The 27,982-nt window shown below is 35.3% G+C and overlaps 1 protein-coding gene and 1 long non-coding RNA gene across 3 annotated transcripts in view, besides 1 other annotated feature; one reads left to right on the top strand and one right to left on the bottom strand.

The window, feature by feature from the left end:
- The window catches only part of AADACL2-AS1 (AADACL2 antisense RNA 1), a 176,997-nt gene extending 166,818 nt beyond the window's left edge, over nt 1-10,179 (top strand). The window contains exons 3-4 of one of the 2 annotated variants that reach the window (NR_110202.1): nt 6,227-6,286; nt 9,847-10,179. This is a non-coding gene — a long non-coding RNA (AADACL2 antisense RNA 1). The remainder of the gene's footprint in view (nt 1-6,226; nt 6,287-9,846) is intronic. The other variant, NR_110203.1, reaches the window with a different exon arrangement.
- On the bottom strand, nt 19-27,431 carry AADACL2 (arylacetamide deacetylase like 2). Its single transcript, NM_207365.4, has 5 exons — nt 27,185-27,431; nt 20,490-20,712; nt 17,196-17,265; nt 15,678-15,849; nt 19-4,366 (listed from the first exon to the last, which is right to left on the bottom strand). The coding sequence occupies exons 1-5, from the start codon at nt 27,320-27,322 to the stop codon at nt 3,764-3,766; spliced, it is 1,206 nt and encodes a 401-aa protein (NP_997248.2). The 5' UTR covers nt 27,323-27,431; the 3' UTR covers nt 19-3,763.
- Nucleotides 10,445-11,644: an enhancer, noted in NCBI's record as "P300/CBP strongly-dependent group 1 enhancer chr3:151467502-151468701 (GRCh37/hg19 assembly coordinates)". NCBI's record gives its function as "activates an origin of replication core promoter dependent on BRD2, BRD4, P300/CBP, MED14 and CDK7 cofactors, with strong dependence on P300/CBP, by STARR-seq in HCT116 cells {active_cell/tissue: HCT116}" and the evidence as "EXISTENCE:reporter gene assay evidence [ECO:0000049][PMID:35650434]".
- Nucleotides 27,432-27,982: the final 551 nt, after the last annotated feature.

The following is a 27,982-nucleotide window of genomic DNA, read 5'->3' as shown; positions in this document are numbered from 1 at the left end:
AAATTGATGGACTCTTCCTTTCAGAACACCACCAATGGCACAAGGCCTTTATTTACTTTTAAGAAATTGGAACATATGATACTTGCTAGGTGTTCTTTTGTGTTCCACCAAATTCATATATATATATATATATATATATATATATATATATATCACAATATGTATATATCTCACCATATATATAAATATATATCTCACCATATATATATATATCTCACCATATATAAATATATATCTCACCATATATAAAAAAATATATATATATCTCACCATATATATAAAACATATCTATATGTTGGAGTCCTAAGCCCCAATACTTTACATGTGATTTTATTTGCAGATAGGGTCTTTACAAAGACAGTCAGGTTAAAATGAAATTATTAGGATAGGCCCTAATCTAATCTGACTGCTATCTTTATAAAAAGGGAAAATTGGGGAAGAACACATACAACGGGAGAATATCATGTGAAGATTGGAGTTATGCTGCTACAGGCCAGGAGTCCTGAAACAGATCCATCCTTGGTGCCTTCAGAGGGACCATGGTGTGATGACACCTTGATCTCCAACTTCTAGCCTTCTGAACCACAAAGTAATAAATTCCTTTTGTTTATTTAAGGCACTCAGTTTGTGATACTTTGTTATAGCAGCTCTAGCAAACAAACACAATGCTGGAATGGATATTTCAGCAGAAAAACCTAGAAATTTCCTTTAGGATGTGGCGCTGTTTGGAGGTATTTTGGAAATTGTTACTTCTTTACATGTTAGATATATGTGTCAGAAACCTACACCTTATGTTTCCAGGAGACACAGGCAGATTATCAGAAAAATAACAGATGACTTGTAGAAATTCGGATAGATGAAGTCAAGAATTTCTTCTGTATACTTTCCCTGGGTGGTATAAAGGTAGGTTATGGAGCTGTATCGTCACAACTTGGGACTTGGACTAGTACACAAACTGTAACATAAACCCTTGCCTTGGTACCTAGAGAATATTAAATTTGACTCTCAGGTTCTGCATCACTGTTTCTCTTAGAAAGGAAGATGAGATGTAAATACAAATCAATGTCTGGATAACATAGCTACAAAGAGACTGAAAACGTTGGAATTTTTAGCTGTAATGCCATGGGGTGTAATCAAGTCTTCCCCTATACTGTCAAGAAATAAATTAGATTTGTTAAAAGATACATCATTACAGCTAGGTAGTTTCTATACCACTGTAGGATGACTATAGTTAACAATAATATATTACATAATCTCAAACAGCTAAAAAAAAGATATTGAAATTCCCAACACAAAGAAATGATAAATGTTTGAGATGATGTGCCGATTACCCTGATATAATCACTATACATGATATGTATTGAAACGTCACTATGTATCCCATGAATATGTACAATTATTGTCAATTTAAAATGAAATTTAAAAATAAAGTAAAATACATTATAACAGACGACTTTCATTCAGTTGTTTCCAAACTTAATGGCTTGATCACAATGCTCATGCCACCACACAAAATGGAACAAACTTTGAAAGTAAGACCCAGTGAAATGAACCCTTTAGCATACAAACAGTAACAGTGCCTGGATAAAGCCACAAAAGAAGTTAGTGAGGTAAGGGACTGCAATGGAAGCTAGTCTACCTGTGGTTCCTTCCAGAAATATTCTGGGACCAAATTTACAAAATAAATAAAAAAGGATTGACTGGCCTACCTTAGCATACATTTCTACCACATACTTATGTAGCAAAAAAAGAAGTGCTTTTCTGCTCTGCAAGATACAAACTTTTTCAAAACGAAAACAAACTTAGTTATTATCTAGCTGTGAGCCATCCTTTCTGTTTAAAGGCTTGAAAGTACATACTAGTGACATGACACACTAGTGTAGTGCTTACAAAATTAAAAGGATTTTTAGTCAGGAATCACTGTGAAAATGTTCAGACAATAGGACAATCAACAAAATGTGCTTCCTAGAGAGCTGCATTTTTAATGATTTTCTTACAAATCAGCACTTGCTGTCAAAATGAAGAGATTTCTAGGACTTGTTTTCCTAATTAGAACGGGTAGCCAGTATATTAAATGATGAAAAAGAACTGGAACCAGATTCAGTATCATGAAAAACAAATTACAAATTTTAAAATATATCAAGTTTACAGGAGATTAAATCAGAATTATGAAAAATACAATATTCTTAGTGTATGTAGTATAGCATATAGTATCAAATCTCCATTTAGATTTTATTTCTCAGAGGAAAAAAACAGATTCCCATGATACTTATTTTCATTTGTCATAGTCATGTTTGCGTTTTTAGCTTTGGGGTACTGAAATTGAGTGAAAGAAAAAGGGCTCTTTGAACATAATTAATTTCTCTCTACATTAAAAAAATCTTATTTTGTTTGTGGACTGTTGAAATTGTAATTCTTAATTGCCTTCTGAATCATGGAGAATTGAGAAAAATGTCTGGTCCCAACTGAGTAAGTTGTTTTTGGGTCAATTGGATGGTAGATTTTTCCCACACACATGCACATACTCATACATATACACATTTCTTACTACATTTTTAACTTCTTAGTTGGATTCAACTGACTATGCTTAATACTCAAAATTTATAACATTGTACCATGGATCTGTTTTCATAGCAATAAATTTTCAGTTTTTTGTTTATGATTCCACTCAACAAAAGGGCTACAGAAGTGATTTATTCTTTAGGTAATTTGAGATGATATATTTGAAAGTTTTTTGGAGAAGCTTTTCTAGTCCATACTCAAATGTTCTTCATTATTGAATGCATATTTAGATCAGATTCTTGAATTATAATATTGATCTGCTGCCTCCTTTAAAAAATATTTTTAAAAATGGCCTCCCAAAAGATAACTACATCCTAATCTCTGAAGGTTACTTTATATAGAAAAGGGTGGGGAAATCTGCAAATACAATTAAATTGAGGATCGTGAGATGCAGAGATTATCCTAGACTATTCAGGTGGACCCTCCTAAATGTAAACACATGTGTTTTTCTAAGAGAAGCCCATAGGGAGATTAGACACAGGCAGAGAAGAAGGCAATGTGAAGATGAAGCAGAAAGAGATTGGAAGATGCTGGCCTTCAAGATTAAACTGATCTAAGAATAGTCAAAGAATACTGGCAGCCACCAGAGGTTAAAAGAGGCAAAGAGCACCTTCTAGAGAGTCTCCAAGGGAGTCATGTCTCTTGCCTGTGACTTGGTTTGGGCCTAGTTAATACTAATTTCATGCTTTAGGACCCCAGAACTGTAAAAGAATAAATATCTGTTGTTTAAAGCGACTGAATTTGTAGTAATTTGCTACAATAGTCACAGGAAACTAATATAGGGTCCTTAGGGTTTATTTAGTCCAGTGGTTTCCATATATTTTTAGCAGCAAGTTTGTTCCATGTTTTTTCCTCTTCCCACTCACTACAACAATTTCTGTGCCTATCTGGAAAGTATCTTGCTTAATTTGCCAATAACCACTCTTATTTCTCAACTTTAATAAGCATTGGTTCTTATTAGAACCAACATAATTATAATAAATTATAAGTAAGGAGAAAATAGGCAGGATTACATACATTTTACATATTCAGGGTCTGCAAGTCAGAAAATTTAATAACTCTTCAAGGACACACATTAACTGCTACAAATGTTGCAAATGTAGATTTAGATAACTCAAATGACATTGTTCTTTGCTCCAAAACCACAAAATATCACAAATTACAATCCACTATGTAAGGGCTATACATACACATCACATATTTATAAATTCTTATCCAGCCAACTTACATACATATCTCTTATCCTAAGACCTAGACGTAAATAAAATGGTGAAGTCATGAATGATAAAGCTCCATGAATTCCATCCTCAATATGTTCATGAACAACTTGGACTCCAACATTTCGAAGTCTTGTAACATACATAAGTCCATCATCTCTTAAGAGATCATGTTGACAAGTAAGAATATAGGTTAGTGGCAAATTCTGTAACTGAGAATCATTGGCCAACAAGGGTAATGCTCTGCTGTCTGTAAGTCCTGGCAATGAATAACTAAGTCCTCCAAGAATTGGTTCAGTATATACATAGTCTTTTCTATACTTCTCAGGAAGAAGAATACTCCAGTTAACAAACTTAAACAGATGTCTTGACTCCAGAGGCATGTGTTGGTTTCTTCTCATTGCCCAGGGAAGTGCTTCATCCTTGGTGAAATATAAGCTCACGAGTTTTATGGCTACATCCCTGGTCAAAACTATACCATGCTCATTTTCTCGGTGAGATGGCAAATAAGAATCTGTTATCTGTAAGCCAGGGTAAAGTAAGACTTGCATCTTGATTTTATGTTTTATTTCAGCATCATTCTGCACCTGAAAATATATGGTAATATTCTGTAATGCAAACATTTCCAAAATACCAGGAGAAAAAAAATTTAATTATCTAGCAGTCATAAGATAAACAAATCTACATAAATTGATGTGATGTATCATAATTATTTTTATAATATTTATAATATATTACCATGGCATAAAAAAATTCAAACCAATTTAAATTTAAGGTTTTAAAAAATATTGATTTTTTGTGTGAGGAAAAAAGGAGAAAGTATAAGAGAGGAGAGGGAAAGAGACAGAAAGAGAATGTACAAGGCGAGAGAGATACACAGGATTTTTTGGTCAAAAATCACAAATGAAAATGATCCAATTCTAAAGATATTTCTAGTGGAAATTGGCAGTACATATAGTTTTGTAAAAATCCTTCTTAAATAAAGTAACCAGAGTGAGTGGAAGAAATAAATATAGCTATTAAATCATATTATTTCATTATAGAATCTAAAAAAAAATCTTAAACATTTTTAGAATATATTCTTTGGAAACAAGGTGGACATTACCAACATCATACCATAATTTTTAAGAAACATTATCCCAATGCAAAAGCACGTGGACCAAGGTGAAGAAAAAAAAGGCCAATCAACAGGTATCTTATGAGAATGATGCAGTGTTGGAGAAACAAAGGGAGAAAATTATGAAAAAATCGATGTGCACAAGTCTGATATGCAAGGATAAAATGTGAAGTACTTGATAAGGAGTGCCTTTTCTTTTTCAAAGAGAAAGGCATTTGAGGTCTCACCTATGACCCTGCAGACTGCAGGAGATAACGTTGAATTAATCTCCCAAGAGCTATTGCCTTGGCTAGAGTCTGGGATCTGGACAAATGAAAATACCTGCTGCTGCTACAAGTGAAAAGCTCAGGACCACAGGATGTACCTCTAAGTCACCCAGTCACCACAGTGGCTGGCTGAACTGAAAGGAAAAACTAAATTGAAATCCAAGAGGTACCTCAGAAAGGGAAATGGTATCCTACCATCTCTACAGTGTACTTCCAAGATGCTAGAGGTTTAATAAGTGTAGAATGAAAATGAGCCAAAACAAAGTTATCTTACAGAAACTTTCCTAGATCCCAAATCTCTCTGCCATGCCCTTAGGTAGATAATTTACTAATCAAAGATTGCTATCAATAGCCCACCCTCAGTCATCCTACTCTCAATCTCGCTAATCTAGGAAAAAAACAAACAGAGAACACATAAACAGGGACAGGTCAAAAAGTGTCCATCAATAACCTTGCCTGACCCTAACTTTCCTTTCTGGAATGCCATATGAAATAAGTCACTTCAACAAATGTGTCAGTATTTCCCATCTCTATGTTCCCCATTATGTCATTTGTTACTTTGCCATTCAAGGCTTTTTTCCTCTAACATTCTTCAAAACCCATGCTAAAGTCAGTTCTCTTCAAGATATTGGAAAAGCACCTGAGTCAGATTCTCCGAGGTTGGCAATTTTGCCATAGTCTTAACAACTATGTTATTTATCAGGTGTGTTTCAGATATTTTCTACACATTTTATATATACTCACAAGCATATATGTGTGATTCTGCATGTAAATACCTGATCAAAGGAAACTCTTCTTTTTTAAATTCCCAAATCTCTATTACCTCTTTAAGGCCAGTCGTCACTTTTCCTTTATTATACAAAAATGTACATGATTAATCTTTCTACTTGGTTTTGAATTTCACAAACACTGACATGATACCTAAGTTGTCATTGTACCCCTTACTGGGCCTAAGATAATAAAGTCATTAATATCATATGGGAAAATAGAAAAATGAATATTTTAATAATATGGAAACCATAATATTAAAAACTATAATATCTGATGTATAATTCTTTTAACAGGACACTATATCTGGAGCCAGGAATAATAGGATCCGAGAAACAGTAACAAGTATAAAACAAGTAGGTCCCAACAGTAATGCTGAATTATTGACCTATCTATAGCTTAGTTCTTTCCTCCTAGACCTATATGGTCTCGAAGATAGCCAGCTAAGCAAAGTTCAAAAGTGCACATAAACATTAATACTAAACCAAAACAAGCCTAGAATGGAGCATTCTATAAAATGGACATGAAGGAATGGATATGTATTTCTGATTTTGTGGGTAACTGATATGTACTTGAGTGCAAAAAAATGTGACATTCATCTCAGGATGTTATTACTTTGTAAAGAACAAGAATGAAAAAGTAAAAGGTCAAAATTTGAGAGAACATATCTGGCTCACGGTAATGTCCTTAGAGTTTAGACACTGGTAACTGTATTTCAAACTTCTATTTACCTTTTTATTATATTTCCAATATAATAAAGACCTTTGGATAGCTAAGTAACTTAAAGGTTGTGGAAGAGCTTCAATAAAGCCCATCCTTATTCTTAATCTTTTTCAACAATGAACTTTATTTTCATGAAAACACAATGGATAGTATGCATTTGAACTTTCCTTTTATAATTAAATATCATTAATCCTAAACTTATGGTATTTACAGTAAAATTGTCTCATATAAATTATTTGCTCTGCCCCTCCCTTATTAAGTCCCCCAGTTTGAATCTCTAATTGGTTCAAGTTATAGGCCGTGTTTTTCAAGTTATAGGCCATGCCACTGGTATTATTGTCATCAAGAAAGTAACTTATTTATACCATGATGAAGACTGGTCTCCTAAGTTTATACTTTTGAGAGCAAAATTTGGGACCCAGTTCATGAAAAGCTTCTATGCCATGCTAAAATGCTTGGAGTAAACATGTGGACCAGCACGATTTTCACTCCTACATCAGTTTTTTTCATTCGCAAACATCCCTCCTGGACAGCATGAATTGGGAGTGGTGGCTGAAAGGAAGCTGGTAACAAAGTCAGAGAAGGGATGATCCATGACTTCATGCCCTGTGTCATTTTATGACTCAACTGCTTCAAAGCCCATTCAAAGCAGTAATCTGCCATGGACACCTGCACTTGGCATAAAGTCAACTCCAGACAGTCTGAGGCATTACTGAATCCTCTCCCATTTCCCAAGTGCCCTGTGACCATTCAAAGGGCATGGCACTTTCCTAGAGAATAATGGTTTCCGCTGCCAAGGGAACATATTACGGCCCTTGCACTTTGCCCCCCATCATCTACTACCCTTCTCAATCCAGTTACTTGTTCACAAGATACCCTACCATCTAGCTCCCTGGTTTGAGTGTGTGTTATTCAAATTCCTGCATGCCCACACCAACTTATCCATAGCCTGTCATCCATGGAAGGATGGATGTAGACAAAATATTAACTTGTTATTTGAGGAGTTCCTACATTGCTAATGGTAAGTATTGTTCACCAAACTTCATATCTGTCATTTTCAACCCAGAGCACTCAACTTCATAGAAACTGTGATTGCTATCCCCACTAATTTTCCTTTCTATGAACTACCCCTAACAACTCCAAACTTGATTCCAACAATACACAACTAGCCAATGAGTATCTGGATAAACTATGAACCACCATGAAGAAATTCCAAATGGGAGGATTTTTTGGCCTCATCCTAGCACGCATGTTCCAACCATGCTGGAAACTGCAAAACTCCCACATGGGCTAGAGTCCAAGATAATCAACCTGCTCTCCTCCTTGCAGATTAATCCTGTCCTTTCCTGATCTTTATTCTTCCCCTAAAATCCCACTTCCCACTTTATGTCCTAAAAGTGTGACAGTAAAACAGATTATATCACTCAGAAGTGCAGGACTCACAGTGATACCACTTCCAGGTGCAAGTAAAAGAAGACAGATATTTCTGCTTCTGATGGACTTCAGGTGACCTCTATAACACTGATATGCAGTGATTACACAGAGGTAAACAAACAAAATAACAGAAACTAACATACATACTATCTATGTATGGGACATCATCCCATGTCCAAGAATGCTGCATGTCAATCATGTTTTTCTAAAAATCATCACCATTAATTATAATTTCTGATTAATATTTGCTATTAAACTGTTTTTAAAGAGTTTTTTATATTTTTAAAGAAGTGTCACATATGTAATATATACAGCCATAGAAATATGGGATGCCATAGAAATATTATTATAAATAAGATCATACGGCTTTATTACCACCTTATGACAAATGATACAAATTAGAAACAAAAGTGTATTTAGAAAGACCAAAGCTATAAACCTAAATAAGTAGAGCTATTGCATATCACAGCTTCCTCTTTAAATTACCTACATTGAAATACTTATTTTTTAGAATATCTAAGAGAGTAGGACTTACTAATTACTTCAAAATATCAAATCAATTCCCATTGTTTTATGAAAGTAAAAAGAATATCTCTGATCCTAAATAAGAGCAATGCATACATTCTTTTAAAATAAAATGTGGCCATGAAATTGGATTTAAGTGATATGATTAAAGTTTAGAAATAGTTTTTCCTCTTAATTAAAGATTAAGGCACCATGTCCACAAGAGTTTTCTAAGCTATAGTGATCATCCAGATCGTTGTGACCAGCAAGCCACATCAGTGATTTTAGGACACATCATGTGATGTTGCCAGGAAATCTAGCAATAATAGGTTAAATATATTCATTTCTTCTCAATAATAAGAATACAATTGAAAAGTGGACCAAGTCCACAAGAGAAAATGACAGGGTAATGTATGTGTCCTAATCCATGAGAAAATCCTTTTATAATGTGAATTGAAACAGATGAGTCATTTTTTAAAATATATCCCTCAGTGGTGATTATTGATACCGAATTTTTAAAGCCATAATCTATAACATATTATCAATCACAGGATCATGAGACATTGGAAAAAATGAGCTCTATAATAATTTCAAAGTAAAAGTTGATTCTTATGACCCAAAATAAACACAGTACAGGTAATAAAGCTTTTCAATGAATATGTAATTCATATAGAAAGTTTAGCAGTCCATGAAGAACAAATAACTTAAAGTATAATCACAAAAGTAAATAGGAAAGGATAAAGAAAATCACCTTTTTAAATGCTCATTAAGTACACTGAGTTCTTCTGCAGCCTGTTCATCTGCATACTACACTATGTTCCCTTTGAACAGATAAATCAGAATGTCTAAATAGATACTAAGTTCTTATATAATTAATTAAGAAATAGAATGGTGTTAGATTTTTGTGCACTTTTGTGCTGCCCTACAGATTTTACTAAGAATCACGTCTCTGTTTGGTGCCTGTGTTATTAAGTATTGTCCTGCTGAAAAGTTATAAGGTAGGGTATCACATATTCACGAATCTGTATGGCTACATCCAATTGTTATTTCTTTTTTCTTTCTTTCTTTTCTTTTTTGTTTTTTAGAATTAGGGTCTTCCTCTGTCACCCATGTTGCATTGCAGTGGTGTGATCCTAGCTCACTGCAAACCCCGAACTCCTGGGCCCAAGCAATCCTCCTGCCTCAGTCTATTGAGTTGCTGGGACTACAGGAGTGTACCACTACCTCTGACTATTTTTATTTTTATTTTTCCTAGAGTGGTCTTGAACTCCTGGCCTCAAGTAATCCTCCCCACTGGGCTTCCCAAAGTGCTGGGACTACAGAGGTGAGCCAATACATCAAGCCCAATTGTTGTTTCAGTTATGCTTGCTACACTTGCAAAGCCAAGCAAATGTTACAAATGTGCAAGAAATTAGAGGTATGGTAAGATGTTGCTTAATCACTATTGGGTAATTGTTGGACAGCTTTCAGAATCTCTACATTCCCCAAACCGGTTTCAGATGAAATTTTAGACCAGACTGCTATGCAATTTTACATAGTAATTAGTATAATAATCTCTAAGCAGGGCATTCTCCAATTTTTACCCTCCATCATACTCCTCATTTTACTCCAGTAAGATCTTTCAAATAAATGACATTATTTCAAGTAAATAGCAAATAAGTTCTGTCTGGAAGAGTCCTAAGGAATCAACATGTCTAATGGTTTGCAAACTTTCTTCTTGGCAATGAAGTCCTCTTTTATTTTTCTCCTAAGAAAATTTACTTAGAGCTCTAAACATGAAGGGCAACTAAAGTGTAACAGGTTGGGTTGAAGGGAGGCCCAGGTATAGAACCAAAGGTGAAGCTTTGTTATCACTACAATTTTGGTTTCACAATAGGGTTTTGTGTGTATGATGTCATAGATTAATATATACGTATAGGCATATGTACATGTACATGTATATGTATGTATGTGCATATATACTTATGTATGTATAACGTGTATTTCAAGTGTATATGTATATAAAAATATGTATGTATATAAACTTCTTCTAGTGCTCTAATCCTGAATCTTATAATACTTAAAAGGAAAGAAATTTTAAAAAATAAATAGAGAGGCACCTAGAGTAAGCTTTTGGCTCAAGTTTTTATAACTAAAGTCATATTTTAAAAAGTACAGAGCAGTGTTTCTCAAAAAGAAGTCTGAAGAAGACTAGTTTCATCTTTTTTTTTTAAATAGAAAGGTAGACAAGTTGACATAAGGAGTAGACATCAGGAAAAAACCAGCACTCTTGAAAAGTGGCAAGATCATGAAAGATAAGAAAAGGCTGGCAAACTATTCGTTAGGAACATAGATGCGTAGGTGGAGGAAGTGATGAACAGAGACTCATAGGTGAACTTAGGAACCTGGATGCACAGGTGGCGGAAGCTGACGTAATGAGTAAGCATCACAGAAAAATCCCCAGCACTGTTAAAAAATGTTGAGGTCATGAAAGGCAAAGATATTCTGGCTAATTTTCCGTTATGAACATAGGTGCAAAAATTATAAGCAAAATACTAGCAAACCGAATTCAACAGCACATTAAAAGGATCATACACCATGTTCAAGTGGGATTTATCCCAAGGATGTTTCAATACACACAAATCTATCAAGGTGATATGCCATAGTAAGAGAATGAAGAATAAAACTTACATGAACATCTCAACAGATGCAAAAATGACTTGACAAAATGCAATATCTTTTCATTATACAAACTCTCAACAAATTATATGTAAAGTACCTCAACATAATAAAGGCCATATAGACAAGCTCAAGGCTAACATCATACTCAGTGATAAAAAGCTGAAAGCTTTTCCTCTGACATCAGGAACAAGACAAAGATACCCATTCTCACTATACCTATTTAATAAAATACTAGAAGACCTAGTCAGAGAAATTAAGAAAACAAAAAAACAAACAAAAACAGAAATAAAAAGCATCCAAATGAGAAAGAAGTAAAAAAAGTCTGGGCCGGGTGCAGTGGCTCACGCCTGTAATTCCAGCACTTTGGGAGGCTGAGGCTGGCAGATCACAAGGTCAGGAGATCGAGACCATCCTGGTTAACATGGTGAAACCTTGTCTCTACTAAAAATACAAAAATTAGCCAGGCATGATGGCGGGTGCCTGTAGTCCCAGCTACTCGGGAGGCTGAGGCAGGAGAATGGCATGAACCCGGGAGGCAGAGCGTGCAGTGAGCAGAGATCATGCCACTGCACTCCAGCCTGGGCAACAGAGGGAGACTCTGTTTCAAAAACCAAAAAAAAAGTCTATTTTCATATTACATGATATTAGATACAGAAAACCCTAAGACTCTACCAAAAATCTGTTAGTACAAGTAAATAAATTCAGTAAAGTTGCAGGATACAAAATCAACATAGAAAAATCACTTGCATTTCTATATACCAACAACAAACTATCTTAAAAAGAAATTTTAAAAAATCCCATTTCAATAGCATCAAAAATAAGTACATAAAAAACACCAGGAATAAATTTAACCAAGGAGGTAGAAAGATCTATACACAGAAAGCTATAAAATATTAATGAAAGAAATAGAAGAAGACACAAGTAAATGAAAAGATTAACCATGTTTCTGGATCCAAAGAATTAATACTGTTAAAATGTCTATACTACACAAAGCAATGTACAGATTCAATGCAATTCCAATCAAAATTTCAATGGTATTTTTTACAGAAATAGAAAATTAATATGGAACCACAAAAGACTGAATAGTCAATATAATCTTGAGTAAAAAGAACAAACCTGGAGGCATCATAATGCCTGATTTCAAAATAAACTGCAAAGCTACAATAATCAAAACAGTATGGTACTGGCATATAAACAAACATATAGACCAATGGAACAGAATAAAGAGCTAAGAAATAAATTGTTGTCTTAGTTCAGTTAGCACTACTACAATAGAATGCCTGAGACTGGGTAATTTATTAAAAAATTTTTATCTCACAATTCTAGTGGCTGAAAGTTTCAAGATTGGGTATCTGCATCTGATAATGGCCTCTGGCTGCTTTAACTCATGAAAGAGAACCGGGTATCTGCATGTGCAAAGAAATCACATGGCAAGAAAGGAAGCAAGAGAGAGAAACCAAGGAAGCCAGATTGTTTTTAATAATCTGCTCTCTGACAAACTATTTCATTCCCTGGAGAGCAAGAATTCACTCATTCATTCCCTCTGAAGGGCATTAATCTATTCACGAAGGATCCACCCTCCTGTCCCAAACACCTCTCACTAGGCTCAGTCTTTCAATGCTGCCACATTGGGGATCAAATTTCAACATGAGCTTTGACTGGGAAAGACCAAGCTATAGCAATGGTCAATTGATCTTTGACAAAGGTGCCAAGAACACACAAAAGGAAAAGACAGTCTTTTCAATAAATAATGTTGAGAATTCTCATATATCCACATGCAGAAGAATGAAATTGGACACTCATTTCATTTCATATACAAAAATCAACTCAAAATGATGAATCAAAGGTCTAACACTTAATATAAAACTGTATAGCTACTGGAAGAAGGCTTAGAGAAAAATGACTTTATATTAGTCTAAGCACTAATTTGGGAGGTATGACTCCAAAAGTACAGGCAACAAAAGCAAAAATAGATATATGGGATTGCCTCAAACTAAAAAGCATCTGCACGAAAAAAGAAACAATCAACAGAGTGAAGAGACACTCTACAAAGTAGGAGAAAATATTTCAAATCATGGGTTCAATAAGGGGTTAATATTCAAAATGTATAAAGAATTCAACTAAATGGCAAGAAAACAAATAACCCAATTTAAAAAATGGGAAATAGAACTGAGTAGACATATGTACAAGGACCCCTTGTACATTGTTGTTGGAAATGTCAGTTAGTATATCCATTATGGAAAACAGTATGGAGTTTCCTCAAAAAATTAAAAATGGAACTACCAGATGATTCAGCAATACCACTTCTAGGTATCTATCCAAAGGAAACAAAGTCAGTAATGTGAAGAGATATCTGTACTCGCATATTCATTGAAGCAGTATTCACAATAGCCAAGATATGGAATCAAACTGTTTGTCAGCCGGATAAATGGATAAAGAAAATTTGGTGTGTGTGTGTGTGTATCTACACACACACACACACACACAAACACACACAATGGAATATTATTCAGCCTCCAGAAAGAAGAAAATCCTGTCATTGGTGACAACATTGATGAACCTGGAGGTCCTTACACTGAATGAAATAAGTCAGACAAATATTGCATAATCTTGCTTTTATGTAGAACCTAAGAAAGTTAAACCCCTAGAAGTGGATAGTAGAGTGGTGGTTATGAGGAGCTGGGGATATAGATGAAAGGGGATGGAGATGGGGAGAACAGGGAGATATTGGTGAAAGGTTACAAAGTTTCAGTTATGCAGGATGAATAAGTTCTGGAGATCTAATATTAAGTGCGGTGACTATAGTTAATAATACTGCGTACTCGAAATTTGCTAAGACAGATCTTAAACATGCTCACCATAGAGAAAAAATAAATGGTAACTATGTGAGGTAATGATTACGTTACTTAGCTTTTGTTAATTGTTTAAAAATGCATACATATATCAAAACATCATGTTGTACATCTTAAATACATATGATTTTTCCTTTTCAACTGTACCTCAATACAACCTCACAAAAGAGAAAAAAACAGAAAATAAGAGAGTTGGAATTCTTCCCAAATTATTTAATGAGGCTAGTGTAATTTTTCTCTCAAAACCTGACAAAGACAGGTGGCAGAGGTTGCAGTGAGCTGAGATCGCGCCACTGCACTCCAGCTTGGGTGATGGAGCAAAACTCCATCTCAAAGAAAAAAAAAAAACCTGACAAAAAGTGTTAAAAATTAAAGATTAATCTCAAAAATACAAAACATTTAATGAACTAAAGCAAATGGAAAGCAGCAACATATAAAAATTTTAATTCATCAAGACCAAGTAAGGCTCATGCCTAGAATGTAAGCATAATTTAACATTTAAAAGTCAATTGGCATAATTTACCACACTAAAATAATAAATAAGAAAAATTACATGATCATCTCAATAGTTGGAGTAAAAACATTTGACTAATTCAAGACCCATTTATGCAAAAACTATCAGCAAACTAGGAGTAGAAATAAGTTCCTCAATCTGACAAAAGCTAACTATGAAAACCTTCAGTTAATACTATATTTATTGATGAAATATTGAAAAATTTCCTCCAAAAATACAAAGCAAGAGAGTTATATTAAATATTTTACTAGAGGCCCCAGACAGTGCAATAATAAAAGAAAAATTAAAAGGAACAAGTACTGGGAAGCAAGAACTAAAACTGTCTCTCGTCATTGAAAATATAGAAAATCCTAGGAAACTAAAAAAAAAAAAAACAAAAAAAACACAGAACACTAGCGTTATAAGTGAGTTTATTGAGGATATGATGGGAAAAGGCCAATATCAAAATCAATTGTATTTCTATATAGCATAGAAATAAATTACAAATTACAAATTCCAATATGTTCCAAATAAACATTCAGAAAATAGTATTTTAATAAAAATTTTAAAAAATACCTCAGGGTAAAATTTGAGAAAAGATTTCCATGATTTCTACACTGAAAATAGTAAAATATTGCTGAGAAATTGAAGAGGATCTAATAAAGTATGAGACATGCCATGTACATTAATTGGAAATCTCAATATTGTTGACACGTCAATCCTCCCCAAAGTTATAGATTCAATGCAATCCTAATAAAAATTCAGTTAGTCTTTCTTTTTAAAAATTGATAAGATAATCTAATATTTTAATGGGAAAGATATGGAATACTAGATTTTTTTTTAAAGAAGAACAGTTGAAGTCAGTGTAGTATTGGCAGTAGGATAGACATGTAGATCAATGGAACAAAATAATCCAGAAATAGTCACATTAAGGTTAAATAAATGTTTACTCAAGTGCTACTGTAATTCAATGGGAAAGAATGGTCTTTTCAACAAATGGTGGGGGAAGAACTGAATTATCTATAGAAAAAAAATGAGCCTCAATTTCTGCCTCCTATCATAAAAACAAATATAATGTACCTGTTGAGTGACCGCTGTTGCTAAATTGCCCCCAGAACTGTCTCCCGCAATGCAGATTCGGGTGGGATCCACTCCATATTTTGTAAGAATTTTTTCCAAAAGAAAAAATTTGACTGCAGCAAGGCCATCTTCAAACTGAGCAGGAAAGTGGTGTTGAGGAGCCAGCCTATAGCTTTAAAGAAAGAATAATAAAGCATTTATGGTTGTATCTGTCCATCTAATTCTCAAATACCAAATAGATGCAATTTAATGCCAGTCTTTATTGTTCAGTCTTCTAAAAATCAAGCCTAAGTTTTCTACTAACTCTTGATTAAAATGAAAATTATTTTAATAAAGTATAAGGTTTTCAATCTTGTACCTAAAATCCATGAATGGAATTATTTGTGAGGAGTCAGGGGAGTGTTATGAACTTCCTAGGAATTGTAAGCAAAAATTTTAGTCCAAGTGTATTTTAGAATGGAGATGGTGTATAGCTTACATCATATTCTCAATGTAACTTGTAATCCAAACATTTTTTTAAAAATGCTTGTTTAAAAAGCACAATAGGCTGCAGATCTGAGAGCATATTGTAGGCAGTGTCCTATTTTATCAAGGACATTTAGGTAAAAATTTTATAAGCTGACGGTGCATATACTTCATCATGGATAATACCCAGTAGTTATTACTAGATAAAAATTTTGATATATAAATAAAATTTAAATATGCCAGAGAGCTTGCTTATTTCTGGTAAATTCATTTGTAAGGCAAATTATCACACTCTTCTTTTCATGGGCACAAATTATTTTTTCCCCAGTGTGTGTAGAACAGTAAGACAGGAAAATACATCTAGCAGTCAATTCATAGAGCTTTTTCTTTTTGATCTTCAGAATGCTAAAACATGTATATTTCTATAGCCAATATGAAATGTTGGTAATAGGGTTCTTAGAATTTTATTATAAACTATCTAGAAAACTCTAAGTAATTTGTAGCTTAGACATAGATGTGTACCAAAAAGATGTTGGTATCTTTATTTAAAATGCAGTGGATTTATACTTTTTGGACAAAGAACAACACAAATTTTAGGGATTTGATAGAATGTATAAGCCAGGCACAAACATATTATTATATCAAAACAGATATAAAATAGTATTTAGATTACTTCAAAAGCTATGAAATTAAACTTTTCTTGCCTGCTCAAATACAATCCAGTATCCCAAATGTGTAATAGTTAATATACTTCCTTCTGTCCAGCTGTGTTACTTGGGACACTACTAGGGCCTTATAGGACCTGAGTCTTACGTGTCTAGAGCAAGTGTTTCCAAAACTGCTTACTCTGGGGTATAATTCAGATATTCTCACAATCACAGAAAAATAATGGGACACTGAACCTCTTTGAGGAGCAGTCTATGTTGCAATGGTGACAAGTAAAATATATTAATTTAAAAAATTATATTTGAAGCATAGCTGACTTGATGTGGAAATCAAACCTCTACATGGTAAAGGCAAAAATCATAGTAGCCAGAAAAAAATCATTCTTACTCCACGCCTACAACAACAGCATCAAGCGTGTTTGCCGTCCATCTATTCAGGAAGTCAAAAGCCCTCTGTTCTGAAATGAAGAAATAAACATCAAAGTATTTCCTGTAATTAAAAAGCTATAGAAACAGTTACAGATATGAATGTGGAAATAACTGTGGTTTGTGAATATCACATAGCTTTTATTTCCACCCCCCATTTCCAAGCAGATGGACCTGAATCCACGTGGCACACTCTCCCCTTCCTAGTCTTTTCAGCCACTCTTTCCAGGAGGAAAAGGATGACTTCACCAATTGATTATTTTGGGGAGGATCAACTAGAATAGGCTCAGCCTATTGTAATATCGTCTTGACATCTGCTGTCTGTACACAATGACCCTTCCCAGGACCCTTTGTATCCTGGTGCATTTTACTTCATCTGAAATAATGGTAATGGTTTGACTTGCATTTATGTGAACTCTGGGTGTAATTTTTTAACTGGTTCAGAAGTCGGAGGAAAAAGAAAGTAATAGTATGTATTGAGTCTCTAAACATCGTTCTTCAAAACCTCTTGTCTTCTTTGAAGATGCCACATAATAAAATAGTCCAATAACATTGGCATTAAGACAGAGTCTAAGGAATAATAACTAGATATGAGAGAGCCTCTGGCAGGTCAGTGTGAAGACTTGATATACATATGAGTTTTGACATGCTTGATGTACAAGCTATTGACTTTCCCCAGACACATAACACACACACACACATCTTTCCCCAGGTCCCCACATATCCTATTTACCAGGGCCCTGGCCAAGCACCTTGGCAAATTCTGTAACATCTGCTGCTGCTTTATTTACCACAAGATCCTAGAAATCCAAAGAATTCTAGAGTTGTGATCAAATTCCAGACTTCTCTGGACCTTCTCTTGCACATTAACAAAACTGCAAAGTGAAAACTAACCACAGGGTGTATATATAACCTGGAAAACAGGAAAGTAAGTCACCTAGTCTTTTAAATAGAAAAAAATAATGTTTTATTAAAGATTAAGTTAATTTTCAAGAAAAGGCCATGCATAGATGAAGACCAAAATGTACAAGACCTAAGAACTCTCTGAACTTCACCTTGTTAACGAAAGAGCATGAGATCTTCAGAAGAAAATGGGAGAGCTTTAATTTCTATTAAAAAAAAAATCTGCAGATTAGGGAGACATAGCCTTCCATGTAAAACAAAAGTGTGCTCCAGAGACCAAAAAGAGGGTCTGTGGCTTAAATATGGAGAATCAGCTGGCATCCCTCAATCACAATCAGGTATATATATGTAAATAAAGGATTCAAACTTATTCAAATAGTTTAAAACAGCTGATTCCTGATTGGGTAGTTTCCAAGCCCCAAACCAAAAGTCTGTTAGATACCGCTTTCAAGCAACTGGTGGGATGAGTTTTCTAATCAGGGTGTTTCAGCTTGGAAACATCTTAGCTCAGGGGCGCAAACAGGATGTTTGGAGCTGCCTTCTCTGGGAACAAAGTGATGTGTGACCACCCTTTTCTCACTCATTATGGACACTGAGCTCTTAGTGTCATAATTTGGGTTTCTTTATCAGCCACAAGAAATCCGTTTCATCCAGAGACCTTGAGGTCTTATTTCCAGTTTCATTTCATAACCTTTAAAGCCACTCAGTGATGTATTTCAAATCTATGTCTTCATTTTTATCTCCCAATCCTTTTTGTCTTAGAATTAAAGCCATATTTTTGTTTGCTTGTTTGTTTCCCATTTTTATCTCAAACTGTCTGTACTCATAGAATATTTGCTGATATAATCTCTCTGGTCTTGTTTCTTTTATTCCATGCCTTTTTATTGTTATAGTGTCTGTAGAATGCGTATAGAAACAAAAAGATATGAGGATAAATGTTGAAAAACAAAAAGATATGAGGATAAATGTTGAAAAACAAAGATCACAAAAGTATATAAAAAGTCTACTAGAGCAACATTTTCCTATATTTCTTGGTTCTCAAAGCAACTTATGTATGTTTTAGAGAAGACAAAAGAGGAAGCCTAGGGGGAAAAGAAAGAAAATTAAAATTTGCAAATACTAGAAAATAGTTATAATGTCTATTTTTTCTTGGTGAAAATTAGAAAGTATCTAAGTCTTTTCCAGTGTATTCACATATGTTTGGGAGATCTGAAAACAAATAATGTGTAAATATAAAACCAAAATATTGACAAAAGACATCTAGAATTTAGCTAAGCAGAATGTTGGAATGTCATATCCTGAATAATAATTCTCACAGTTTTAGAAATTACTGATCACAATCATTGCCTATGTCAGTAAAAAGAGATATAACCCTAATAATCAGGAATACTTCTTAGTATTTTTCAATCAAAGTGATATTTTCCTGTCAGTGGCCATTTCTTTTGTGCTTACTCAAGTCCTAGGTAATATGTATATGAACACTTGGATATTTCATACACCTCGTAAAAACTTCAGTGGAATGAATGCATTTCTTTGGAGAGAAATGAGGCAAACTTGGTATTTATCTTATCAAGAAAGCAGGTTATTCGACCATTTTAACACATGATATAAATTAAATTATAGATGAAATATAGATGAAATCCAATGTATTGAAAACATTAAGAAGGTAAAAAATACATAAAAGAAATGGATTAGAACATTTTGGATAATAATCCCTCTAGAGATCATCAGATGTCCCTCTCATTCACTATGTGTGTGTCTTTTTTCTTCACAAAAACATTTATTGAATAATCACTGTAAGAAAAATGCCTAAAAAGACAAGTAGGGAACCGAGATTTTATGGGAAGAGTTTATTATTACATAGTACTATTTTGTGTTTTCTTTTTAGAGTCAATACTAACAACTGCATTCTAAGCCTTACCAGTATTTCTATTATGTTATCAGTAACTGCAAACTTGATCTTGTAGCAACCAATAGCAAATGCTTTTGACTTGTTAATTAAAACATCTGCATCCCCTCAATGTTTCTGCTCCTGAATTCAGATCCCAAGAAAAAAGTTTAATAACTGACTTTATATCCTATTTTCCTTTGATATATGTTCATTCAATATGAAAGCTAAGGATAATAAAAAAACAAAACAAAAACTGAATTTAAAATCCCCATAATATTAGTTGCCAAACATATGTCTATGTCTCTTTATTAGATGTCTCATATTTATATCTATACTTATCCATATCCAGACAAGTATATATATAGATGTATGTATCAGTATAAGTGTGTATATTTATATAAAATAGTTCTTATATCAAAAATGTAGAGCTAGCTACACTTTTTCCTTATACAATGAACTTACTGGAACTTCCAAAACAAAAACCACCACCATGAAAATATATCACAGCTCGCCTTCGGGTTTCTGACTTTCTTTTTGGCAAGTACAATCGTACTGGAATGTCAACAAATGTTGTATCAGTCACTGTGATGTATTCATCTGAAAGTGGTTGGGTATAATCCAGCCTGAATATCATGGATATAAACTCTTCATATCTCATAATACGCATATTTTCAAAACACATAGCCTGTAAGAACAAAACAAACAAAATTAAATATTTAGATATTTAAATAACACCAAATATATTTAAAAAGAAAGTTAAAAAGGAAGAAAAAATAAGCAAGGTAAACAAAAAGAAATAGACTATTTAAAAATATTATTTCCAAATAATACTGTAAAGATCTTATTGCATAACCTTCTTGCCCTTGAAAATCTCAAATATCTGGCAAGCTGGCCGAATAGGAACAGCTCCGGTCTGCAGCTCCCAGTGAGGGCAATGCAGAAGGCAGGTGATTTCTGCATTTCCAACTGAGGTACCCAGTTCACCTCATTGGGATTGTTAGGCAGTGGGTGCAGCCCACAGAGGGCGAACAGAAGCAGGGTGGGGCATTGCTTCACCCAGGAAGTGCAAGGAGCCAGGGGACCTCCCTCCCCCACCCAAGGGAAGCCGTTGAGGGACTGTGCTACCCAGCCCATATACTACGCTTTTCCATGGTTTTTGCAATCTGCAGATCAGGAGATGCTCTCATGTGCCTACAGCAGGGCCCTGGGTTTCAAGCACAAAACTGGATGGCTGTTTGGGCAGACATGGAGCTAGCTGCAGGAGTTTCTTTTGTACCCCAGTGGTGCTTGGAACTCCAGTGAGACAGAACCGTTCACTCCCCTGGAAAGGGGGCTGAAGTCAGGGAGCCAAGAGGTTTTGATCAGAGGGTTCCACTCCCGAGGATCCCAGCAAGCTAAGATCCACTGCCTTGAAATCCTCACTGCCAGCACAGCAGTCTGAAGTCAACCTGGGATGATCTAGCTTGGTGGGGGGAGAGGGGTCTATCATTACTGAGGCTTGAGTAGGTGGTTTTCCCCTGACAGTGCTAAGGAGGCCGGGAGGTTTGGACTGGTTGGAATTCAGCACCATGTAGCAAAGTGGCTGTGGCCAGACTGCCTCTCTAGATTCCTCCTCACTTGACAGGGCATCTCTGAAAGAAAGGCAGCAGCCCTAGTCAGAGGCTTACAGATAAAACTCCCATCTTCCTGAGACAGAGCACCTGGGGGAAGGGGAAGCTGTGGGTGCAGCTTCAGCGGACCTAAACTTTCCTGCCTGCTGGCTCTGAAGAGAGCAGCTGATCCTGAGAAGGAGAATTCTCCCAGCACAGTGCTTGAGCTCTGCTAAGGGACAGACTGTCTCCTCAAATGGTTCGCTGACCCCTGTGCCTCCTGACAGGGAGACATCTCCCAGCAAGGGTCAACAGACACCTCATACAGGAGAGCTCTGGCTGGCATCAAGCTGGTGCCCCTCTGGGATGAAGCTTCCAGAGGAAGGAGCAAGCAGCAATCTTTGCTGTTCTGCAGCCTCCACTGGTGATACCCAGGCAAACAGGGTCTGGAGTGGACCTCCAGCAAACTGCAACAGACCTGCAGAAGAGGAGCCTAACTGTTAGAAGAAAAACTAACAAACAAAAAGCAACCACATCAACATCAACAAAAAGGACCCCCACACAAAAACTCCATCCAAAGGTTATCAGCCTCAAAGATCAAAGGTAGATAAATCCATGAAAATGAGGAAAAACCAGCCCAGAAATGCTGAAAATTCCAAAGACCAGAATGACTCTTCTCCAAATGATTGCAACTCCTCTCCAGCAAGGGCACAAACCTGGATGGAGAATGAGATTGACGAATTGACAGAAGTAGGACTCAGAAGATGGGTAATAACAAGCTCCTCTGAGCTAAAGGAGCATGTTCTACCCCAATGCAAGGAAGCTAAGAACCTTGATAAAAGGTTACAGGAACTGCTAACTAAAATAACCAGTTTAGAGAAGAACATAAATGACCAGATGGAGCTGAAAAACACAGCACAAGAACTTCGTGAGGCATATACAAGTATCAATAGCTCAATCAATCGAGTGGAAGAAAGGATATCAGGGATTGAAGATCAACTTAATGAAATAAGGTGTGAAGATAAGATTAGAGAAAAACAGAAAGAAAAGAAACAAACAAAGCCTCCAAGAAATATGGAACTATGTGAAAAGACCAAACCTACGTTAGATTGGTGTACCTGAAAGTGACAAGGAGAATGGAATCAAGCTGGAAAACACACCTCAGGATATTATCCAGGAGAACTTCTCCAACATAGCAAGACAGGCCAACATTCAAATTCAGGAAATACAGAGAACACCACTAAGATACTCCTTGAGAAGAGCAACCCCATGACACATAATCATCAGATTCTCCAAGGTTAAAACAAAGGAAAAATGTAAAGGCAGCTGGAGAGACAGGTCAGGTTACCTACAAAGGGAGACCCATCAGACTAACACTGGATTTCTCTGCAGAAACTCTACAAGCCAGAAGAGAGTGGGGACAAATATTCAACATTCTTAAAGAAAAGAATTTTCAACCCAGAATTTCGTATCCAGCCAAACTAAGCTTCGTAAGCAAAGGAGAAATGAAATCTTTTCCAGACATGCAAATGCTGAGGGATTTTGTCACCACCAGGCCTGCCTTACAAAAGGAAATAAGGAGAAAACATGGAAAGGAAATAAATATGGAAAGAAACATGGAAAGGAAATAAATATGGAAAAGAAAAACTGGTACCAGCCACTGAAAAAACACACCAAAATATAAAGACCAATGACACTCTGAAGAAACTGCATTGACTATTGTGCAAAATAACTAGCTAGCATCATGATGACAGGATCAAATTCATACATAACAATGTTTACTTTAAATGTAAATGGGTTAATGCCCCTATTAAAAGACACAGGCTAGCAAATTGGATAAGAAGTCAAGACTCATCAGTGTGCTGTATTCAGGAGACCCATCTCACATTGAAAGACACACATAGGCTCAAAATAAAGGGATTGAGGAAGATTCACCAAGCAAATGGAAAAAAAAAGCAAGGGTTGCAAATCTAGTCTCTGATAAAACAGACTTTATACCAACAAAGATCAAAGACAAAGAAGGACATTACACAATGGTAAAGGTACCAAGGCAACAAGAAGAGCTAACTATCCTAAATATATATGCATCCAATACGGGAGCACCAGGTTTCATAAAACAAGTTCTTAGAGACCTTCAAAGAGACTTAGACTCCCACAAACTACTAGTGGGAGACCTTAACACCCACTGTCAATATTAGACAGATCAACGAGACAGAAAATTAACAAGGATACTCAGGACTTGCACTCAGCTCTGGACCAAGGGGACCTAATAGTCATCTACAGAACTCTCCACCACAAATCAACAGAATATACATTCTTCTCAGCACCATATAGCACTTATTCTAACATTGACCACATAATTGGAAGAAAAAACACTCCTCAGAAAATACAAAAGAATGAAAATTAAAAAAAAAAAGTCTCTCGGACCACAGCACAATCAAATTAGAACTCAGGATTAAGAAACTCACTCAAAATCTCAGAACTACATGGAAGTTGAACAACTTGCTCCTGAATGACTACTGGGTAAATAACTAAATTAAGGCAGAAATAACGAAGTTCTTTCAAACCAATGAGAATGAAGAGACAACATAGCAGAATCTCTGGGACACAGCTAAAGCAGTGTTAAGAGGGAAATTTATACCACTAAATGGCCATATCAGAAAGCTGAATAGATCTGAAATTGACACTCGAACATCGCAATTAAAAGAACTAGAGAAGTGTTTAGAATGGCGATCATTAAAAAGTCAGGAAACAACAGATGCTGCCATGGATGCAGAGAAATAGGAAGGCTTTTACACTGTTGGTGGGAGCGTAAATTAGTTCGACCATTGTGAAATACAGTGTGGCAATTCCTCAATGATCTTTAATCAGAAATATCATTTGACCCAGCAATCCCATTACTGGGTATATACCCAAAGGATTATGAATATTTCTACTGTAATGACACATGCATACATATGTTTATTGCAGCACTATTTACAATAACAAAGACTTGGAACCAACCCAAATGCACATCAATGATAGAATAGATAAAGAAAATATGGCACATATAAGCCATGAAATACTATACAACCATAAAAAGGAATGAGTTCATGTCCTTTGCAGGTACATAGATGGAGCTGGAAGCCATCATTCTCAGCAAACTAACACAGGAACAGAAAACCAAACACCACATGTTCTCACTCATAAATGGGAGTCTAACAATGAGAACACATGGACACAGGGAGGGGAACATCATGCACCAGGGCCTGTCGGGAGGCAGGGGGAAAGGGGAGTGAGAGCCTTAGGACAAATACTTAATGCATGCAGGGCTTAAAACCTAGATGACGAGTTGATAGGTGCAGCAAACCACCATGGCACATGTATACCTATGCAACAAACCTGCACGTTCTGCACATGTATCCCAGAACTTGAAGTAAAAGACAAAAAAAAAAAAAAAGATAAATCCTTGTATATAAAAAAGGAAAATCTCAAATATTTAGTATTTTAGACTGAGAGCTGTCCTATTCAAAACCCACTAATTTACTAGCAGTTTTTTTATGCCGCTGTAATTATTTTTGATTTGTAAATTTTTTTCAGAAAAATAAATTTTGTAGGCATGCTGTCATGTTTTCTTTTTTCATTGTTCATTTTATTTAATCCAAAGTTTTAAATATCTTCATATGAACACACTAGTAATAATCCAAATTTTTTGGCTTTCAACTCCAAAAAGATTAGGGCACTTTCCTCACCTTTAAATTCCATATTTGATGTCACTGAAAAAAGCTGCCTTTGGTATTCCTGACCAGCTTCTCGAGGACTTTTGTGTTATGTCACTGGACAGTTTACTCATAAAAAAACTTAAATATTACATGGTTAATAACACATTAAACAATCTTTATTATTATAATTATTCCAAGGAAATTAAGGTATTTGCAGGGCAATTGAGAACATCTAGCCACTATACTTTATTTTCTTAATTTTAATTTAATTTTTTTATTTTTTGAGAAGGAGTCTTGCTCTGTCATCCAGGCTAGAGTGCAATGGCACGATCTCAGCTCACTGCAACCTCCGCCTCCTGGATTCAAGTGATTCTCCTGCCTCAGCCTCCCCAGTAGCTGGGATTACAGGCGTGCACCACAACAGCTGGCTAATTTTTGTATTTTTAGTAGAGATGGGGTTTCCCCATGTTGGCCAGGCAGGTCCTGAACTCCTAGCCTCAGGTGATCTACCTGCCTTGGCCTCCCAAAGTACTGAAATTACAATCGTGAGCCACCATGCTAACCCTTATAATTTAAAGACGAGGAAGTATGCAGAAACTCTAAGTTGTAGCCAGTAAATGTCAAAGCCAAGTCTGCATCCATTTAAACCAGCATCTTATGCTACTACTTACTAGCTGATAGACATTGAGAAAATTACTCTCTGTAGCTCAATTTCCTTGTCTATATGACAGTAATAATAATACTTCAGTGGGTTGTAGTAGGGTTTAAACAAGTTAATGCCCTGAGATACAAATTAGATAATCAAGAAAGGGAGCATAGTATTTTCTCTGTGGAAGTGACACTTGCTTACCCACTTATGCTTACTCAAGAAGTAAGAGCATTGGAGAAAATTTATGGAGAAGGTAAGCCTCTAGAAGTGATTACAGGGGAAACTATTAGCAGACATCAGAAGGAGTTGACTGTGGTTTCACAAAGCAAATATACTGTTTGCTGTACAAAGCATCATAAGACAGCCTCTTCTTTTTATACCATGGGTTGCTCTCTTTTTTTCTGATCATCTTCTGTGGCCTTCTCCTTTGAGCCTCTTATTGTTACCCTTTCTGGAAGCTGTCTGGCTTGGCAGAAAGAGTATGGGTTTCAAAATGAGACAGTTTATAGTTCAAATTATGGAGTTGTTACTTTTTACCTGCATATGTTCTTCTCAATCTCTTCCCCAACCCCATAACCTGATAAAAATAATTGCAGGATAGCGGGGAATCAATGGAAGTACATATTATACAAAGCCTATACAACTTAAGAACTCAAAAATATTAGTTTCTAACCCTATCTCTCCCTTTTAAAGGAGCTATTTTTGCATGAATTTATAATTCATTCTGCACATGCCAAGTCAGATAATGCCTGAAAACCAGCAATTTAGAATTGAAGATGGACAATGAAAGCCATTAAATAATAAGAGCCTTAAATTAATATCAAAGAGTTACAAATATCAATAATGTGTATCTAAACAACTAAAAGATAATTACAGGACTAGGTTGTCCCTGAAAGTTCAAATTTAAGTCAAGTTCTCAAATAAACCTCAAAGCCTTTTCCTTTAGCAATACCATTTATTTTATACATGTCACAATAAATTTATTTTATACATGTCACGTTTAGACATAAAGTCTTAGAATTGAGAATTCTGTCTCACTGTTACTCACAGATATAGGGAGTTTTATTTACTTAATGTTGTTTAATTAATTTACTCAAACAAGCAATGGTTCTTTCAAAATGGTGATATTAATACTATTAATAAAAGAGTTCATAAGCACCCATTTTTAGTCAATAAGTCATCCCAATTTCCAACAGAAAAAATAAATGTTAACCTTACCGTAAATGTACAAGTTTTAGCGATGGCATCCAAGGCCATTATTTTCCAGCTTTCTTCAATGTTGTCTGGCATGGGTGTGTAAAAATGAGAGACAAAAAGAACACAAAGCAGCCCCAAACAGAGAGCTTTTAGCCCCATAATATCCCTTTTTCCAGCTTCTTCACAGTACTGAGATTAAAATTTTTCACAAACACTGAATAGTAACTAGTAGAGCAATTGTAGACTTGGGAACTCTCTCAGGTGATATGATCATCTTAACAACATGAAGCTAATTTTCAATTCAAATGTTACAGTGTCAGTAGTAACTTGTTTTGCAAGCACACAGACTGGAACAGATCTCATAATTCATGAGGGCGTGCATGCATTATTATCATGCAATGTAATACTCTTACAGTGTTTCTTCACCCTGTGATACCATCATCAGCCCAAAACAACTTTATTATTGAGACTTAAACCTAAATGAAACCTAAATGAACCTAAATGACAGCACTGAATAAGTCATGAAGTAAATTTTTGTGATTGGGTGGTGGTTGCAACATATTTTAAGAACAGGTTTTTTTTTTTTAGCTTGCTGATATTAAGTCAAAATCCAGGCTAATGCCATTATCATGGATTATTAAACATGTTAACAAAACTTTCTTGTGGTGAAACAAGTTTTGGATTAAAAAACAAGGAATGAGGCAACTTGTCCGAGTTCTATTAAGCATCAAACTAGAATTTTTCCATAGACTAAGCCTGGAAGCTCAGTGCAATTATCTGTTTTCTTAGAGGATTACATAGTATGATGATGAACTTTAT

Source organism: Homo sapiens, chromosome 3 (genome assembly GCF_000001405.40).
Source record: "Homo sapiens chromosome 3, GRCh38.p14 Primary Assembly".
Taxonomy (NCBI): Eukaryota; Metazoa; Chordata; class Mammalia; order Primates; family Hominidae; genus Homo; species Homo sapiens.
This window is presented reverse-complemented; position numbering and strand designations above follow the sequence as displayed.